General features: G+C 39.7%; 1 protein-coding gene across 2 annotated transcripts in view; it reads right to left on the minus strand.

Moving 5' to 3' along the window:
• Positions 1-20,553, minus strand: part of TESK2 (testis associated actin remodelling kinase 2) — a 147,281-nt gene that overhangs the window by 104,122 nt on the left and 22,606 nt on the right. Inside the window, exon 2 of one of the 2 annotated variants that reach the window (NM_007170.3) lies at positions 9,560-9,867. The exons of the other annotated variant lie outside the window; for it this stretch is intronic. Within the exon in view, the coding sequence (NP_009101.2) occupies positions 9,560-9,781 (222 nt within the window). The 5' untranslated portion in view covers positions 9,782-9,867. The remainder of the gene's footprint in view (positions 1-9,559; positions 9,868-20,553) is intronic. 2 annotated transcript variants of the gene reach the window in all.

Consider the following 20,553-nt stretch of genomic DNA (forward strand, 5'->3'; position numbering starts at 1 on the left):
AAGACTCAATGTGTGTGTGTGTGTGTGTGTATTTTGTTTTTTTTTTTTGGTAGAGACCTTGTGTCTACAAAAAAAATACAAAAATTAGCCAAGCATGCTAATGCACACTTGTACTCTCAGCTACTCAGGAGGCTGAGGTGGGAGGATCACTTGAGCTTGGTAATTCAAGGCTTCTGTGAGCCATGACCACACCACCGCACTCCAGCCTGGGAGACAGAGTGAGACCCTGTCTCAAAAAAAAAAAAAAAAAAGAAAAAAGAAAAAGAAAACAACCTGATTAAAAAATTGAACAGATACCTCACCAAATAAGATATACAGATGGCAAGTAAGTATTTGAAAAATACTCAACATCATATGTTGTGTTAGGCCATACTTGCACTGCTATAAAGAAATACCTGAGATCAAGTAATTTATAAAGAAAAGAGGTTTAATTGGCTCACAGTTCTGGAAGCTGTATATGAAACACAGTGCCAGCATCTACTTCTGGTGAGGGCCTCTGGAAGCTTACAACCATGGAGGAAGGTGACGGGGTGGGGGCAGCATGTCACATGGGGAGAGTGAGATCAAGAGACAGAGAGGAGGGGGAGGTCCCAGATTCTTTTAAACAGCCAGATGTCACATGAACAAACTGAGCAAGAACTCACTTATCACCGACGGGATGGTACTAAACCATTCATGAGGGATCCACTACCATGATCCAATCACTTCCCACTAGGCCCCACCTTCAACATTGGGAATCACATTTCAACATGAGATTTGGAGGGAACAAACATCCAAACTATATCTTATGCCATTAGATATTTGAAAATTAAAATAACAATGAGATACTACTATATACCACTTAGAATGGCCAAAATCCAAAACACTGACATCAAATACTGACAAGGATATGGACCAACAGGAACTCTTTATTCATTCCTGGTTGAAATGCAAAATGGGGCAGGGTGCAGTGGCTCACGCCTGCAATCCTAGCACGGTGGAAGGCTGAGGCAGGTGGATCACAAGGTCAGGAGTTCAAGACCAGCCTGGCCAAGATGGTGAAACCCCACCTCTACTAAAAACACAAAAATTAGCTGGGCGTGGTAGTGGACATCTGTAATCCCAGCTACTCAGGAAGCTGAGGGAGGGTATTGCTTGAACCCGGAAGGCACAGGTTGCAGTGAGCCAAGATCACACCACTGCACCCGAGCCTGGGTGACAGAGCGAGACTCTGTCTCAAAAAAAAAAAAAAGAAAAAAAAAAAGGAATGCAAAATGGCACTGCCACTTTGGAAGAGTTTGGCAGTTTTTTATAAAACTAAACATATTTTTACCATACAGTCCACCAATTGCACTCTGTGATATTTATCCAAATGAACTGAAAACTTATGTCCACAAAAAAACCCCACACATGCGTGTTGACAGCAGCTTTATTCATAATTGTCAACATATTGAAGCAACCAAGATGTCCTTCAATAGGTGAGCAGATAAGCTGTGGTAGATTGAGACAATGGGATATTATTCAGTGCTAAACAGGAATGAGCTATTAAGCCATGAAAAAGCATGGAGGATAGATTAATTAATTAATTAATTAATTTCATGCTATCAAGAGTGTGGTGATGCATAATTTCTTGAGATTGCTACATTATTATATCCAGGTGTTTCTTTAACCACTGACACCCATTTTACAAGTTTTGATGCACACGTACAAGTGCCTGGAAGTAATTTTAAGACATCTCAATTTCAAAATAGTGAAAGTGTTAGAAATGATGAAATGTAGTAGACAGTTTTTTATGCTTAACTCATCTCGAGTTTATTTCAGTGTTTGAAATTAGGTATAAACATTTAATTTTATCTTTTTTCAGATAGTTAATTGTCTAAATACAATTTTTTAATTAGTCTACTCTCCCCCCAGTGGGTTGAAATTTCATTTTTATCCTTGAATTCTGGTGTGATTGACATTTGAATAGACAGAACAATGGAATAAAACAGAAAATCCAGAAGTAGGCTGAAATATATATGCTAATTTAGTGTATGATAGAGATATTTTCTTAAACTAGTAAGGAAAAGATGAACTAGTCAAAAGATGTTAACATAACTAGGTAGTCATCTGAAAAGCAAATAGAATTGGATCAATGTTTTATACCTTACACTAGGATAAATTCCGAATGGATCAAAAATTTAAATATTAAAATTATAAAAGTTCTATAGCAGAATATGGAAGAATTAATTTTTTTAAAATTAATAGGCTGGGCACAGTGGCTCACGCCTGTAATCCCAGCACTTTGGGAGGCCAAGGCAGGTGGATCACCTGAGGTCAGGAGTTCGAGACCAGCCTGACCAATATGGTGAAATCCCGTCTCTACTAAAAGTACAAAAATTACCTGGGCGTGGTGGCATGAGCCTGAAATCCCAGCTACTTGGGAGGCTGAGGCAGGAGAATTGCTTAAACCCGGGAGGTCGAGGCTGCAGTGAGCTGAGATCGCACCACTGCACTCTACCCTGGGCAACAAAACGAGACTCACAAAACCCACAACTATGCTGCATCAAGTCCATAAAGGCCTCTTAAATAAAAAATTAAACTTCTAAGTAATGGGAATTGTCATAGTTTAATTGGCAAGAAGTACATCTTATAATCAATGGCATCTTATATTCAACGAAATCTGTCATAAAAGCATGAGGAAAACAGTATTTTCAAAACCTCTTAGGCTATATGCAAAATCCACAAGTTGTAAATGAAAAGACTGATATGTTTATTTTGTATTTATTTATTTATTTCTTTTTCTTTTTTTTTAAATTTTATTATTATTATACTTTAAGTTTTAGGGTACATGTGCACAACGTGCAGGTTTGTTACATATGTATACATGTGCCATGTTGGTGTGCTGTTGCCTAGGCTGGTCTTGAACTCTTGGACTCAAGCAATCCTCCTGTCTTAGCTTCCCAAAGTGCTGGGGTTACAGGTGTAAGCCACCACTGCCAAACCAAGGTTTAACTACATAAAAACTAAAATGATAAAAGATGGGCAAGGAGAAAATACTTGCAACATACATAATAAAGAATTACTATCAGGCAGGCGTCAGATGTCCCCAGCACACTGGAGTCTGGGATTTGGTGCTGATGGTGCCTCATCAGCATGGACAAACACTGCCTTACAGCTGGACTTTAGTGTTGGGAGCTGTTAATTATTCTAAAGTTCCATAGATTCATGATTTTATAGTTAGAGTTTATATCTACTTGTGTTTTTAGAGGAAGAACCCAAGGCCAAATTATTTTGAAGTGGGAGTGGGCTGGACCAGAGTCTTCCTGTGCCCTTTTCATGCTGTGTTTGAGGATGTGTCCATTGCTACATCCATGTAACTCATCTGGGGCAGCAGATGTGTGACAGCAAACCATCTAACATTTTTCAGGGATAAAGTTAAGCAGAAGTATGTAGTAAATATGAGTGCAAAAGTGTGGCTGAGCCATATGTGCCCTTGATTTGATTTGGGAAGCCTGAGGGAGGCAGCATTCCTAGCCACATGCTGCCTGCCCAGCACAAGGTAGGGTGGTACCCGGGGTGGTGAAGGGGCAGCTCTGTAGAGCATGGTCTGCCTTAGGACCTGAATTGTCCTCAAAGCGCATGGACTGTGGAAATTGTTCACATGAACCAGAGATATCACTCTTTAGGATTCTATTGGCAGCACCTAAACTGGCTCGACATTTGTGGAGGTGGTGTTTCTTTGAAGCACGAACCTTTGTTTTATAATAATTAAAATCTTTATTTGGTGGCTGGGAGTGGTGGCTCACACCTGTAATCTCAACACTTTGGGAGGCCGAGGCAGGCAGATCACCTGAGGTCAGGAGTTCAAGACCAGCCTGGCCAGCATGGTGAAACCCTGTCTCTACAAAAATATAAAAATTAGCCAGGCATGATGGCAGGTGCCTGTAATCCCAGCTACTCAGAAGGCTGAAGCAGGAGAATCACTTGAATCCGGGAGGCAGAGGTTGTAGTGAGCCAAGATCACACCACTGCATTCCAGCCTGGGAGACAGAACAAGACTCCGTCTCAAAAAAAAAAAAAAATTTATTTGGTATAATTTAATATAGTTTAGAAGCTATCTAATCTGGTTTTTTTTTGGAGGGGCAAACTCTTTTGAAAATATAAGTTTTGCTTTTAATTAAAAATTAAGTCTTAGTTAAAACTCAGGCTGCACAAAATTCTTCAGTTACTTCCCATTACTTTATCAGTAATATTCACCACATCTTCCTAGATGTTTATTGATTACAGTGTTGGGATCAAATTCTGCATTAAATGTATGCAAATACATTGGACAGGCTTTGTGTTTTTCACTGTGAAATGCAATGGTGGCTTGAATAAGAAAGTATCTAGAAGCCAAATTAACATAATAATGACTTCAAAAAAGAATTACTATCAGGATATGTAAAGAACTACAAAAAAAATCAACACAACAGAAGAAGGCAGGTAAGAACATAAGTGAACAAGTTTTATAAATGACCAATAAACAAAAGGACTTCACTAACAATCAGAGTACAAAAATTAAAATGAATTAACAAGTCAGGAAGTTGAAGCAGGAAGATTGCTTGCGGCCAGGAGTTTGACCAGCCTAGGCAACACAGAGAGGGACCCCATCTTAAGAAAAAGCCTGGGCACGGTGGCTAACGCCTATAACCCAGCATTTTGGACTTTGGGAGGCAGGTGCAGGAGGACTGACCAGGCCCAGGAGTTCAAGACAAGCCTGGGCAACATAGCAAGACCCTGTCTCAAAAAAAGAAGAAAAAAAAAAAGCTGAGTGCAGTGGCTCATGCCTATAATGCCAGCACTTTGGGAGACTGAAGCAGGAGGATCATTTGAGTCCAGAAATTCAAGATCAGCCTGGGCAACAGAGCAAGACTCCATCTGTACAAAACACTTTAAAATTACCTGACGTGACAGTAACATGCCTGTAATCCCAGCTACTTGGGAGGCTGGGATGGGAGAGTCACTTGAGTCCAGGAGGATGCAGTCAGCTATGATCACGCCACTGCACTGCCGCCTGGATGACAAAGTGAGATCCTGTCTCTAAGAAAAGAAAAAAAAGAGGCTGGACATGGTGGTGCACACCTGTAATCCCAGCACTTTGGGAGGCAGAGGCAGGCTGATCACCTGAGCCCAGGAGTTCAACACCAGCCTTAACATGGTGAAACCACAACTCTACAAAAAAAAATACAAAAATTAGCCAGGTATGATGCTGTGTGTCTGTAGTCCCAGCTACTCGGGAGGCTGAAGTGGGAGGATCACTTGAGTCTGGGAGGTCAAGGCTGCAGTGAGATAGCACCACTGTACTCCAGCCTAGGTAACAGAATGAGACCCTGTCTCAAAAAAAAAAAAAAAAAAAAAAGAGAGAGAGAGAGATAAACCCTCTCTAACATGGTTAATTGACTGTGACATGAAGGGTGCCAAAACCATTCAATGGGGAAAGGACAGTCTTTTCAACAAATGGTGCTTGTAAAATTTGGTATCCTCAAGCAAAAGAATGAAATTGGACCCTTACTTTATACGATATTGAAAAATTAACTTAAAATGATCAATAACCTAAATGTAAGAGCTAAAACTATAAAACTCTTAGAAGAAAACATTGTGGAAAATCTTCATGATATTGGATTTGGTGATGATTCCTTGGATTGACACAAAAAGCAAAAGGTAACAAAAGAAAAAATTAATTTGACTTAATCAGAATTTAAAATTTCTGTGCAAAAAAGGACACCATCATGGGAGTGAAAAGACAAACTACAAATTGTGAGAAAATATTTGCAAATCATATATCTGGTAAGGGATAAATATTCCCTATATATAAAATATATAAATACAATGCAATTCAAAAATGAGCAAAGGATTCAAATACACATTTCTCCAAGAAGATATACAAAAAAGGTCAACAAGTACATGAAAAGATGCTCAATATCACTAGTTGTTTAGAAAAATGCAAATCAAAACCACAATGAGATACCACTTTTCACACCAAATAGGATGATTACCATGAAAAAGAAAAATAAGTGTCAGTGAGCACATGGAGAAACTGGAACCCTTACATATTGCTGATAGAACTGTAAAATGGCACAACCACTACGGAAAACAGTCTGGTGGGTCCTCAAAAAGTTAAACATAGATTGACTAAGTGAAATAAGGCAGTCAAAAAAAGACAAATACTGTATGTTTTCACTTACATAAGATATCTAGGGTAGTCAAACTCTTAGAAATAAAGTAGGATAGTGGTTGCCAGGGGTTGGGGGGAATGGAGAAATGAGGAGTTGTTTAATGGGTACAGAGTTTCAGTTTTGCAAAATGAAAAAGTTCTGGAGTTTGGAGGCACAACCATGTGTACATACTTAACAGTTGTGTTAAGTATGTACTTAACATAATTAAATACTGTTAAGATAGTAAGAAAAAGATTTATTTTTTATTTTTTTATTATTTTATTTTATTTTATTTTTCCCCCAGAGACAGAGTTTCGTCATGTTGCCCAGGCTGGTCTCAAACTCCTGGGCTCAGGCAATTCTCCCGTCTTGGCCTCTCAAAGTGCTGGGATTACAGGCGTCAACCACAATGCCCAGCCAAAATGGTAAATTTTGTATGTATTTTACCATAATCTTTTCTTAAACATAGAATTACTCATATGACTCAGCAATTCTATTTACAGCTAAATACCCAAAAGAATTGCAAGCAAAGAACCAAATAGATACCTGTATATCAATATCCATAGCAGCATTAGTCACAATAGCCAAAAGGTGGAAACAGCCCCACCATCGACAGATAAAATATGACATATATACACAATGCAATATTAGCCATAAAAAGGAATGAAATTCTAATATATGCTACAACATGAATAACCCTGAAAACACTATGCTAAGTGAATTAACTCTAACACAAATGGATAAATATTATATTAACCCACTTATATAAGGTACCTAGAATAAGCAAATTCATAAAAACAGCAAGTAGAAGATATTAGTGGGTGGGAGTGAAACTGCCCCCACAGGGTTCACAAGAAGTGCATGCCAGGTTCTGGACAGAAATATAGTTATAATTAAGCATTAATCAGGCCGCACTTTGGCCCACTTCCTGGTTGCTAAAAGTCATATAGCACTAGATACTGACTATTTGCATTCCTATTGTTCCTACAGAATAGGATTTCTGACATTAGGGTCATAAAACTTTAAGATTTTATTTCTATCCCCATCTTTCCTATAACAGGATCTCTGACATTATAATCATAAGGCTTTTGTTTAAGGATTGCTTAATATGTTTTTCAGACCCCTGAATTCCAGCAACCAGTTTGAAGTCCCCCACAGAGGAACGGGATCTGCAAGAGAATACAGCTTCTTCATCTCCCTGTCCCATGACTTCATCCTGTACTCTTTAACAAATAAACAATTGCCACACTTCGGCCCACTTCAAAACCCTTAAAAAACCTTAGCCCCCATCTCTTACGGGAGATGAATTTGAGGTTTTCCTCCATCTCCTCATTTGGCGGCCCTATGATTAGACCTTTCTCTGCTGCAACCTGGAGTCTCAGCTTATTGACTTGCTGTGTGCATTGGGCAATGAACCCATTTACAGTTACAGAAGGGAGAATTAGTGAGTTAACGTTTCATGGGTACAGAGATTCTGTTTAGGTGATGAGAAAGTTCTGGAAAAGGATAATGGAGATGGTTGTACAACATTGTAAATGTAATTAATGACACTGAACTGTACACTTAAAAAATGGCTAAGATGGTAAATTTATGTTATATATATTTTACTGCAATAAAAAGTATTTTAGAGAAAGACACATTAGAAAGAAAGAAGCTGGAAATGGTACATAGAGACAACTCTATGGAGTTGTTTTGGTCCAAAAAAAAACAAGACATGGGAAAGTATACCTATTAATAAAAGAAACAATAGGGGCTGGGTGTGGTGGCTCTTACCTGTAATCCCAACACTTTGGGAGGCCGAGGCAGGCTGATCACTTGAGCCCAGGAGTTCAAGAACAGCCTGGGCAACAAGGTGAAACCCCAACTCTCCAAAAAATACAAAAATTAGCTGGGCATGGTGTCATGCACCTGTAGTCCCAGTTACTCTGGAGGCTGAGGTGGGGGGATCATCTGAGTCCAGGGAGGTCAAGACTGCAGTAAGCCATGATCACACCACACTGCACTCTAGCCTGGGTGACAGAGCGAAACCCTGTCTCAAAAAATAAAATAAAATAAAATAAAATAATAGAATAAAATAGGTTGGGCGCGGTGGCTCATGCCTATAATCCCAGCACTTTGGGAGGCTGAGGTAGGTGGATCACTTGAGGTCAGGAGTTCAAGACCAGCCTGGCCGAAATGGTGAAACTCTGTCTCTACTAAAAATACAAAAATTAGCCAGGTGTGGTGGCAGGCGCCTGTAATCCCAGCTACTAGGGAGGCTGAGGCAGGAGAATTGCTTGAACCCGGGAAGCAGAGGTTGCAGTGAGCCAAGATTATGCCACTGCACCCCAGCCTGGGCAACAGAGTGAGACTCCATCTCAAAAAAAATAAAAATAAAATAAAATAAAGGGGAAATAACAGAGCCAAAATATTTGGGTTTTTTTTTTCCTTAAAAGAATTTTTTTAACATGTTAATGGTAATACTTAGTAGTGAAAATACAATGTAGAAAAGAGAGGGGAGAATTTCTTAGGCAATGCCTATTAGTAGGCAAGTGGAAATGGAATGTACAATATAAACAGAAATAATGGACTTAGGAGCATGAGTAGTTGATCCATAGTACAAGGTATAAAGGCCAAGTAACTGGGTAAAGATGTGTGTTGATAGCTATTTGTAGTAATGGAAGTCTGCAGAAGTTCTCTTCTGCTTGCTTCAATTTTCTCAGTGAATTGGGAAGCAATTCATTAATTACTGACAATGAGGACTAGTGAGGAAATACTGGGATTTGATGAGAGAAGAAAAGGTACAAAATACTCTCTTGAGGGAGTGAGTGAAACAGGGAAATATGATTGCTTAGGAGCATTATGGGCTCATATTTTTTGAGACAGGGCCTTGCTATGTTGCCCAGGCTGCTCTCAAACTCACAGCCTCAAGCGAGCCTCCTGAGTAGCTCGGGCTACAGGTGCATGCCATTGTACCCAGCTATCAATTTTACTGAAGATAAGCAAACAAAAACTATATATGTGGGTGTGTGTATATATAATTTTAATATATGTATTTAAGGTGTGTGCATAATATATGTATATGCACAGAAAGAGTCCAGAAGTATACATACTGAATTGTTAATAGTGGTTATTACTGGAGAATGTATGTGTGGATACATACACACATGTGTGGCTGGGGGTAGAGGTGAGGTGGAAGAGAATCCTATGTTATTTGAATTTTTAACCAGCATATTATTTTTGGGATTCAAACAAAATATCTTAATATAAGTTAATAAATAGCTTGAAAGGAGAATTTAGAACAGTGTTCAAGATCCACAGCACCTTTATTAGGCAAATCCTACATCCTAATTAAACACAACTATCAACCTGCAGTAAATGTGACCACAGCAAGACAATATGAGAAAAGCTGAAGACTCACTCACCTTGAACACTTCAGAAAAGAAGCCAGACCCTATTTTTTCACAGGTGAAATCATCCAAACGCGTCAGTCTGGAAAAGGCACTTATAAGAGCTCGATACGAAGATGGCCAAACTCTTCCCACCTGGCTCACATTTCCTTCTCCTCCACCACCTCCTTCAAACTCTTCAAGACGCTCCACACGTGGAGGAAATCCTGCAATTGAATTCCGTTTGCTCCGATCCATAGTCTAAATAATCACTTTTTTCTTCTTTTAAGAAGGAACTCCACACATAAATTTTTGTTGAATTTTACTTCTCTTCTGGTTTGACACTAAAGAGATCAAAAAAATTTCCACTGAAATCTTTAATGAATAAATACATGTAAAGCAATAAATGCTCAATGCAAAAATATTTCCTTTCACATTCTAGTTCCTGGTTTTCAGATCTAAAAAATGTTTTATGTCTTTACCCTCAAATAACACTGATATATTTAAAGCCCAAGATATAGTCAGTCTTTACCATGAGTAGAATATCATGAAGATCACCAATTACATTCTAAGTAACAAAATAACAATGATAATATCTATCATTCATTGAGCACCTACTTTCTAGGAAACATAGTATAAGAGCTTGACATACATCATCTCGTTTGATTCTCAGATAATCCATGATATAAGGATTATTATGTTCATTTCACAGAGAGATCAAGAAATCAGTCACTAAAAGGCAGAGATAAAATGGAAGCTGGGTGCAGTGGCTCACGCCTGTAATCCCAGCACTTTGGGAGGCCAAGGCAGGCGGATCACTTGAGGTCAGGAGTTTGAGACCAGCCTGGCCAACATGGTGAAACCCCATCTCTACTAAAAATACAAAAATTAGCCAGGCGTGGTGGCAAGCACCTGTAATCTCAGCTACTCAGGAGGCTGAAGTAGGAGAATCACTTGAACCCAGGACGCAGGGGTTGCAGTGAGCCGAGATCGTGCCACTGCACTCCAGCCTGGGCAACAGAGTGAGACACTGTCTCAAAAAAAAAAAAAAAAATTGAAGTGCAAAGCCTGTCTGATTCAAAAGCCTGTGCTTCTTTCTACCAATCAATACCCTTTATAGCCTCATATAATATTTTATTTCAAAAATTAATTCCAAATATATAAAACAAACATTACAAGGAGACTTCAAAATTATATATTATATAATTTTTAAAAAAGAAAACTATATCCAAAAGCAATCTAAAAATTCACTGTTGATGAAAAAGCACAGTCCAGTAGAAGTAACTATAGAAGGCTCCATCCCATCTGGTACATAACTAAGAATAAAAGCACAAGCCTACTTTTTCTTTTAGCCTGTCTCTCCCTCTTTCTACTTTTTTCCATGAGACTCAATTGTAAGGGTTCTATGCAAAATACAACATTGTGACTCCTCAATTAGTGAAATGCTTTCATAAAGGAGGTGGATACCTACTCAGTTTACCACCACCACTTCTAACCAGCTCTGCAACTCAGAAAAGTGGCAGGAATCCCAGGGCCATCTTAGTAACATGAGTCTGCCTCCTTACCCATTGCCAGAAGTCAGCACCGTACCCAGTGTGTACAACCACAGTTTCTTTCCTGGCAATGTGCAATTGGAATTAAATAGTCCAGTCTCAATATGGCGGCTTTCTAAAATAGAAGCCATGTAAACTCAGAAGCTGCTGGCCAGGGGCATTTTCTATAATACTGCCTGGAAGGCAGAAGAAGTCAAGAGATTGAGGCCAATTTTCAAAGAAAAAAAAAGGAAGGGAACTTTTTGAATTCCCTATTCTGCTCTAATCCCCAATTCTTAAGGCCTAACTGCATCCTGAGGTTCCATGAGATCTACCTGAATCTAGTTAATCTAGTTCTACCACAGTCTTCAAAAAAGGAAGAATACTCTGAGTTCCCAAATAACAAAACATTTAAGTACCTCTATTGAACCTATGCCAAAAAGTGGCATCAGCACCACCAGACCAAATACTTACATCCACAAGAACAAAAATTTAGGGTTAGCTGGCCACAGTAGCTCATACCTATAATCCTAACACTTTGGGAGGCCAAGGCAAGAGGATCACTTGAGCTCAGGAGTTTGAAACCAGTAAGGGCAACATAGTGAGACCTCGTCTGTATGAAAAAATGTAAAAACTAGCCAGGCATGATGGTACACGCCTGTAGTCCCAGCTACACAGGTGGCTGAGGCAGGAGGATTGCCTGAGCCCAGGAGTTTGAGGCTGCAGTGAGCTGTGATAGCACCACTGCACTCCAGCCTGGGCAACAGGGCAAGACCTTGTCTCAAAAAAATTTAGGGTTATAAGACAAAAAATTTGCAGCCACAAAAAAGAATGAAATCATGTCCTTTGCAGCAACATGGATGCAGCTGGAAGCCATTATTCTAAGTGAACTAACACAGAAACAGAAAACCAAATATCGCATGTTCTCACTTATAACTAGGAGCTAAATCTTGAGTTCACATGAACATAAAGATGGGAACAACAGACACTGGAGGCCCCCAAATGGGAGACAGGCAGGGGCTGAAAAACTTCCTATTGGGTACTGTGTTCACTATCTCGGTGGTGGGATCAACAGAAGTCCAAACCTCAGCACCACACAATATACCCTTGTAACAAACCTGCACACATACCTCCTGAATCTAAAATATAAATGGAATTTTAAAAATAAAATAGAGGCTAGGCATGGTGACTCACGCCTGAAAAATCCCAGCACTTTGGGAGGCCAAGGCAGGCAGATCACCTGAGGTCATGAGTTTGAGACCAGCTTGGCCAACATGGCAAAACCCTCTCTCTACGAAAAACACAAAAAAATTAGCTGGGCGTGGTGGCAGTCACCTGTAATCCCAGCTACTCGGGAAGCTGAGGCAGGAGAATAGCTTGAACCTGGGAGGCAGAGGTTGCAGTGAGCCGAGATCATGCCATTGTACTCCAGCCTGGGCAACAAGAGTGAAATTCTGTCTCAAAGTAAATAAATTAAATAATAAAAATAAAATAAAATAGGGTCGGGTGCAGGGGCTCATTCCTTTAATCCAAGCCCAGGCTGAAGTGCAATGGTGCTATCACAGCTCACTGCAGCCTCAAACTCCTGGGTTCAGGCAATCTTCCTGCCTCAGCTACCTGTGTAGCTGGGACTACAAGCATGTGCCATCATGCCTGCCAGTTCAAGACCAGACTAGGCAACACAGCAAGACCCCTCATCACTAAAAAAATAATAATAATTTTAAAAACCAAATTTTCTTAATTTTAGAGCCAGTAGAAAACATCAACTTCAGTCATTCATTTTATATTTGAAGAAACATAAGGCCCAGAAAGTGCAAATGCTAAAAGTTAATGCTATAACCTATTTACTAGCAAAGCTAGACTTGAAACCAAAAAGCCAAGGGTAGTGTATTTCTCAAAGTATGTCTGTTGATAATGTGCTTCAAACTACCTGAGGAGCTTGTTTAAAACCCAGAGTCATGGGTCATAATAGCTTTTTTTTTGGAAACACAAGGTTTCACTGTATTGCCCAGGCTGGTCTTGAACTCCTGGCCTCAAGTGATCCTCCCACCTTAGCCTCACAAAGTGCTAAGATTACAGGTGTGAACTGCCCCTGGCCACTGTTTTTTTTTTTTAAACATCAGGAATTTTAAAAGCATTTCCTCATTTAATCTCAAAACGTGGCCAGGCACGGTGGCTCACACCTGTAATCCCAGCACTTTGAGAATCCCTTGAACCCAAGAGGCAGAGATTGCAGTGAGCTCAGATCACACCACTACACTCCAACCTGGGTGACAGAGCAAGACTCCGTCTCAAAACAACAACAACAAAAAAACCCAGCAAGGTAGGTCTGATCTCCATTTTACAGAAAAAGAAATACAGGCTCAGAAGATGAAGTAACTTGCTAAGGATACAGAGCTAGTAGAACCAGAACTGGAACCAAGTTCTATCCAGCACCAAAGCTCAAACTTCTTCCATTTCATTATTACTTAGCTCAGTATTTTTCCACTATGAGAGCTGTAGAAAGAACAGAGACTTAAGTGCAGAGGAAGGCTAGGCTGATTATAATTTGAACAGAGACAGAAAAGAAAAAAGAAACTTTAGAAAAATAAAAGATATTGAAGTAATATACAAAACATATGTAAAGTACATAAAACATCGTTGACTATATAAAACATAGTTGTCTGCTAAACTGAACAATTCGATGTTTGCCATCAACTGACTTTTTCATTTTTGAGATATAAACTCTTTAATTTTTATGTGTACATAGTAGGTATATATATTTACAGGGTACATGAGATATTTTGATACAGGCATACAATGTGTAATAATCACATCAGGGTAAATGAGGTATCCATCACCTCAAGCATTCATCATTTCTTTGTGTTACAAACATTCCAATCGTACTCTCCCAGTTATTCTAAAATATACAATGAATTATTGCCGACCGTAGTCATTCTGTTGTGCTATCAAATACTAAATCTTATTCATTCTATCTAACTATATTATTGTACCTATTAACCATCCCATTTCCCACTCAACACCCCCAACACACTACCCTTCCCACCCTCTGGTAACCATCATTCTATTCTCTATCTCCATGAGTTCAATTGTCTTAATATTTAGCTTCAGCAATGCGTAAGAACATGCAAAGTTTGTCCTTCTGTGCCTGACTTATTTCACTTAACATGATGTCCTCAAGTTCCATCCATGCTGTTGCAAAAAAAGGGATCTCTTTTTTTTTTTATTTTTTAGATGGGGTCTCGCTCTGTCGCCCAGGATGGAGTGCAGTGGCGTGATCTCCGCTCACTGCAAGCTCCACCTCCCAGGTTCATGCCATTCTCCTGCCTCAGCCTCCCGAGTAGCTGGGACTACAGGCGCCTGACACCACACCCGGCTAATTTTTTGTATTTTTAGTAGAGACGAGGTTTCACCGTGTTAGCCAGGATGGTCTCGATCTCCTGACATTGTGATCCGCCCACCTCGGCCTCCCAAAGTGCTGAGATTACAGGCGTGAGCCACCGCGCCCGGCAGAGGATCTCATTTTTTTATGGCTGAATAATCCATTTGTGTAGGTGCCACATTTTCTTTATCCATTCATTTGTTGAACATTTAGGTTGCTTCCAAATCTTGGCTATTGTAAACAGTGCTGTAATAAACATGGGAGTGCAAACGTCTCTTCGCTATACTGATATCCTTTCTTTTGGGTATATATTCAGCAGTGGGATTGCTATATCACATTGTAGCTCTACTTTTACTATTTTGAGGGACCTCCATAGTGTTCTCCATAGTGGCTGTACTAATTTACATTTCTATCAATAGTGAACGAGGGTTCCCTCTTCTCCACATCTTGGTTAGCATTATTTGCCCATCTTTTGAATAAAAGCCATTTTAAGGGTGAGATGATAACTCATTGTAGTTTTGATGTGCATTTCTCTGATGATCAATATGTTTAGGAACTTTACATAGATCTGTTTGCCATTTGTATGCCTCCTTTTGAGAAATGTCTGTTCAGATCTTTTGCCCATTTTTTAATCAGATTGTTAGATTTTTTCCTATAGAGTTGTCTGAACTCCTTATATTTTCTGGTTATTAATTCTTTGTCAGACGGGTAGTTTGAAATATTTTCTCCCATTCTGTGAGTTGTCTCTTCACTTTGTTGACTGCTTCATTTTCTGTGCAGAAGCTTTTTAACTTCATGTGATCACATGTGTCCATTTTTGCTTTGGTTACCTGTACTTTGGGGATATTACTCAAGAAATCTTTGCCCAAACCAATGTCCTGGAAAGTTTTCCCAATGTTTCCTTGTAGTACTTTCACAGTTTGAGGTCTTAGATTTAAGTCTTTAATCCATTTTGATCAGATTTTTGATTAGGTTTTTCTTCTGCATATGGATATCCTGTTTTCCCAGCACCATTCATTGAAGAGATTGTCCTTTCCCCAGTGTATGGTCTTGGCACCTTTGTTGAAAATGAGTTCACTGTAGGTATATGGATTTATTTCTGGGTTCTCTATTCTGTTCCATCAGTCTGTGTGTCTGGTTTTTTGTTTTTGTTTTGTTTTGAGACAGGGTCTCACTCTGTTGCCCAGGCTGGAATGGAGTGGCGTGATCACAGCTCACTGCAGCCTCGATCTCCTAGGGCTCAGGTGATCCTCCCAACTTAGCCTCCCAAGTAGCTGGGACTACAGGTGCATACAACCACACCCAGCTAATTTTTGTACTTTTTTTTTGTAGAGACAAGGTTTTGCCAAGTTGCCCAGGATCATCTCAAACTCCTAGGCTCAAGCGATCCACCCTCCTCAGCCTCCTAAAGTGCTGGGATTATAGGCATGAGCCACCATGCCCAGCCTATGTGTCGGTTTTTATGCCAGTATTCTCGTGTTGTTTTGGTTACAATAGCTCTGTGGTATAATTTGAAGTCAAGTAATGTGATTCCTCCAGTTTTGTTCTTTTTGCTCAGGAGGCTTTTGGCTGTTCTAGGTCTTTTGTGGTTCTAAAATTTGAGGATTTTTTTTCTATTTCTGTGAAGAGTGTCACTGGTATTTTGATGCAGACTGCACTGAATCTGTAGATCGTTTTAGGTAGTATGGACATTTTAACAATATCGATTCTTTCAATTCATGAACATTAAATATCTTTCCATTTTTTGGTGTCCTCTTCAATTTCTTTCATCAATATTTTATAGTTTATAGCCTGGCCAACATGGTGAAACCCCGTCTCTACTAAAAATACAAAAATTAGCCAGGCATGGTGGCACACCTGTAGTCCCAGCTACTCAGGAGGCTGAGGCACAAAAATTGCTTGAAGCCGGGAGGCAGAGGTTGCGATGAGCCAAGATCACATCACTGCACTCCAGCCTTGGCGACAGAGCAAGACACTGGATAAAAAAAAAAAAAAAAAGTCTTATAGTTTTCATTGTAAAGATCTTTCACTTATTTGGTTAAGATTGTTCCTAGGTATTTTATCCTATTTGAAGCTGTTGTAAATGGGATTACCTTCCTGATTTCTTTTTCAGATTGTTTGCTGTTGGCACACAGAAATGCTACTGATTTTTGTATACTGATTTTGTATCCTACAACTTTACTGAATTGTTATCAAGATATGTTTCATTCGTAACAAAATACCTTACTAACCTCCTCAGTGCCCTCAGGGTTCCCTGAGAGTGGCAAATCCTAGTTTTCCATATTACAGCACAGAAGACAGAATTGCTCATTGCAGCTCAATGGGTCTGGTTTTACATTCTCAGCTAGCTAGGAAGAGGTAAGAAACTGCTAACTGTGGCAGGGCACAGTGGCTAACTCCTGTCATCCTAGCACTTTGGGAGGCCAAGGCAGGTGGATCACTTGAGGTCAGGAGTTCCAGACTGGTCTGGTCAACATGGCAAAACCTTGTCTCTACTAAAAATACAAAAATTAGGCCAGACACGGTGGCTCACATCTGTAATCCCAGCACTTTGGGAGGCCAAGGCAGGTAGATCACCTGAGGTCAGGAGTTCGAGACCGGCCTGGCCAACATGGTGAAACCCCGTCTCTACTAAAAATACAAAACTTAGCCAGCATGGTGACACACATCTGTAATCCCAGCCACTCAGGAGGCTGAGGCATGAGAATCACTTGAACACAGGAGGCGAAGGTTGCAATGAGCCAAGATCACGCCACTGCACTCCAGCCTGGGAGATAGAGCAAGACTCCATCTCAAAAAAAAAAGAAAAAGAAAAGAAAATTAACCAGGCATGGTGGTGTGCACCTGTAGTCCCACCTACTCAGGAGGCTAAGGCAAGAGAATCACTTGAACCCATGAGGCAGAGGTTGAAGTGAGCTGAGATGGCACCACTGTACTCCAGCCTGGGTGACAGAGTGAGACTCCAAAAAAGAAAGAGAGAGAGAGAGAGAGAGAGAAAGAGAAAAGAGATGGAAGGAAGGAAGGAAGGAAGGAAGGAAAAAAGGAAAGGAAGAAGAAAGAGAGAGACAAAGAAAGAAAGAAAAAGAGAAAAAGAAAGAAAGAAAGAATGCTAATTGCAACTGAGCTGCTTTGGTAGGAGTCTTGTTAGAAGTTTTACAATAGCACAATAGACTAAATTTTGGTATTTGTATCTTGGTTCACAGCACTTTTCAAGAGGGGTAAATGTATTTCTTAAATGTTATATGCTTAGAGATACTCTTGCACATAAACACAAGAGGCCTGAATAAAGATATTCATTTCATTTTACCAGTGTGTGTAATCAGCGGAAAGAAAGGAAACAACCTAAAGTTCATCTGTAGGAGTAATAGATAATAAACTGTGGCATATTACTCAATAAAACATACAGCACTTAGATGAACAAATTATAAGTAGCAATGTGAATGTATTTAAAAAGTAATGTAGAGTTGGGGAGAAAAGCAAGTTGTAGTTAGCGATATTATTAAAATTTAATTCAAGAAAAGGTTTTCAAAGAAGTTACTGAAAAAAAATTGCACAACCACCCCACAGTATACCATTTTTATAAAAATGTATTTTAAAAATACACAAAATAATATATACTAATCGGGCATGGTGCCTTACGTCTATAATCCCAACACTTTGAGAGGCCGAGGAGGTGGATAGCTTGAGCCCAGGAGTTCGAGGCCAGTCTGAGCAACATGGTTAAACCTAATCTCTACAAAAAATACAAAAATTGACCAGGCGCGGTGGCTCACACCTGTAATCCCAGCACTTTGGGAGGCCGAGGCAGGCAGATCACAAGGTCAAGAGATCGAGACCATCCTGGCCAACATGGTGAAACCCTGTATCTACTAAAAATGCAAAAAATATCTGGGCGTGGTGGTGTGCACCTGTAGTCCCAGCTACTCAGGAGGCTGAGGCAGGAGAATTGCTTGAACCCAGGAGGCAGAGGTTGAGTGAGCTGAGATCGTGCCACTGCACTCCAGCCTGGGCAACAGAGCAAGACTCCGTCTCAAAAAAAACAAAAACAAAAACAAAAATTACCCAGGCATGGTGGCATGCGCCTGTAGTCCCAGCTACTCAGGAGGCTGAGGCAGAAGCATTAGTTGGGTCCCAGGAGGTCAAGGCTGCAGTGAGCCATGACCACACCACTGCACTCCAGTCTGGGCAACAGAGCAAGACTCTATCTCAAATAATAATAATAATAATATATATTATATATTATATATTACAGAAAAGCAGAATAGCATAGTCATGAATGCTATGACATCTACAGCCAAACAATCTGGGTTCAAATCCTTGCTCCGTAACTTCTAGTTATATGAACTTAGATATGTTATTTAACCTCTCTACATCTCTAGTTCCCTATCTGAAAAATGAAAATAAAAACAGTGCCTACATTTTATATTTATTAACTCATTTAATCCTTACAATAACCACAAAGTTATTGATTAAATGGATAGTACCTAATAAACAATAAGCATTCAACTCCTGTTTGTTATTATAATTATTAAAGATATTACATATTTATAGTGAACATCTAAAAGCATGAACTAAAAATGAAGACACTAAATTCATAATAGTATTTGCCTCAGGGGAAAGAAAGTGAAATGACAAGAAAGGGAAACAAAAGAGACATCCACTATACTAATAAAATTTTGTTTCCTTAACGTGATGAAGTGGCCAAGTGGTTAAGGTGATGGACTGCCAATAATATTTTTGTTTCCTTCTATTGAAAAACAAACCTGTGGCAAATAACACAAAATGATATATCTGTTAATTTTATCATTTTTCATTAATTAATATTTGTTAATTCTGGGTGTTATTTATTATACTGTACTCTTTTCTGCATTTAAATTTTTTTAATTTCAAAAAAGTTTAACAGGTTTGTTGTTTTTTTTTTAAGATGCAGTCTCGCTCTGTCACCCAGACTGGAGTACAGTGGTGCGATCATGGCTCACCACAACCTCCGCCTCCCAGGTTCAAGGGATTCCCCTGCCTCAGCCTCCCTAGAGGCACGCGCCACCACACCCGGCTAATTTTTGTATTTTTAGTAGAAATGGGGTTTCACCATGTTGGTCAGGCTGGTCTCAAACTCCTGACCTCATGATCCGCCCGCCTTGGCCTCCCAAAGTTCTGAGATTACAGGCATGAGCCACTGTGCTCGGCCTTCACAGTTTTTTTTTTTTTTAAGTCTATTGCTAATGCAACAGCTATGTAGCATGCTTAAGCCAAAACATTGATAACAATTTGGCAAATAAACAGCATGCCAGTGTGCAAGCCAAGCCTCTAGACTCTCAAACTTTTATTCTGCTAAATTTCCACCGTAGTTTTTAGTCCTAGGAATATATATATCTTAGGCTAAAACTTCAAAATCATGGGTGAATTTTTGGATGGCCTAACTTATTTAAGTCCACAAACTTAAAATATTGGGTGGGATCACTGGCTCACGTCTGTAATCCCCCAACAATTTTAGAGGCTCAGGCAGGATGACTGCTTGAGCCCAGGAGTTCAAGATCAGCCTGGGCAACATAGTGAAATCCCCGTCTCTACAAAAAATACAAAAATTAGCCCGGCATGGTGGTGCACACCTGTAGTCCTAGCTACTCAGGAGGCCAAGGTGGGAGGATTGCTGGAGCCCAGGAGGTCAAAGCTGCAGTGAGCCGTGTTTGGGCTACTGCATTCCAGCCTGGGCAATAGAGCAAACGTCTGTCTCAAAAAAAAAAAAAAAATTAGAGAGCTCATAACAAACACTGATATTTAGTGTAGAGACCCTATCACATGCTAAAGTAATACTAATGATTAGATAGCTGAGATGAGTGGTAAGAAGTAGAGTCCTCTCCATGGGAGTAAGAACTGTATTAATCCATTTTAGAGAAGTGCTGAGCAAGAGAAAACTTCCAAACCATGCCTTCTGCTCCCTTGGCGAGCAAACTAAATGACTATATTTTAAATGAAATCAACCAAGCTATAAATGGCTGTCAATTTATTCTGACAAATTTTAATAACTAATAAAAGGCAGCAAAGATATACACGTACAAACCCTAAAACCAAGCCCAATTTTATAAAATGTGGGAATGATTACTTTTAAAATAAGA

Source organism: Homo sapiens, chromosome 1 (assembly GCF_000001405.40).
Source record: "Homo sapiens chromosome 1, GRCh38.p14 Primary Assembly".
Classification (NCBI taxonomy): domain Eukaryota; kingdom Metazoa; phylum Chordata; class Mammalia; order Primates; family Hominidae; genus Homo; species Homo sapiens.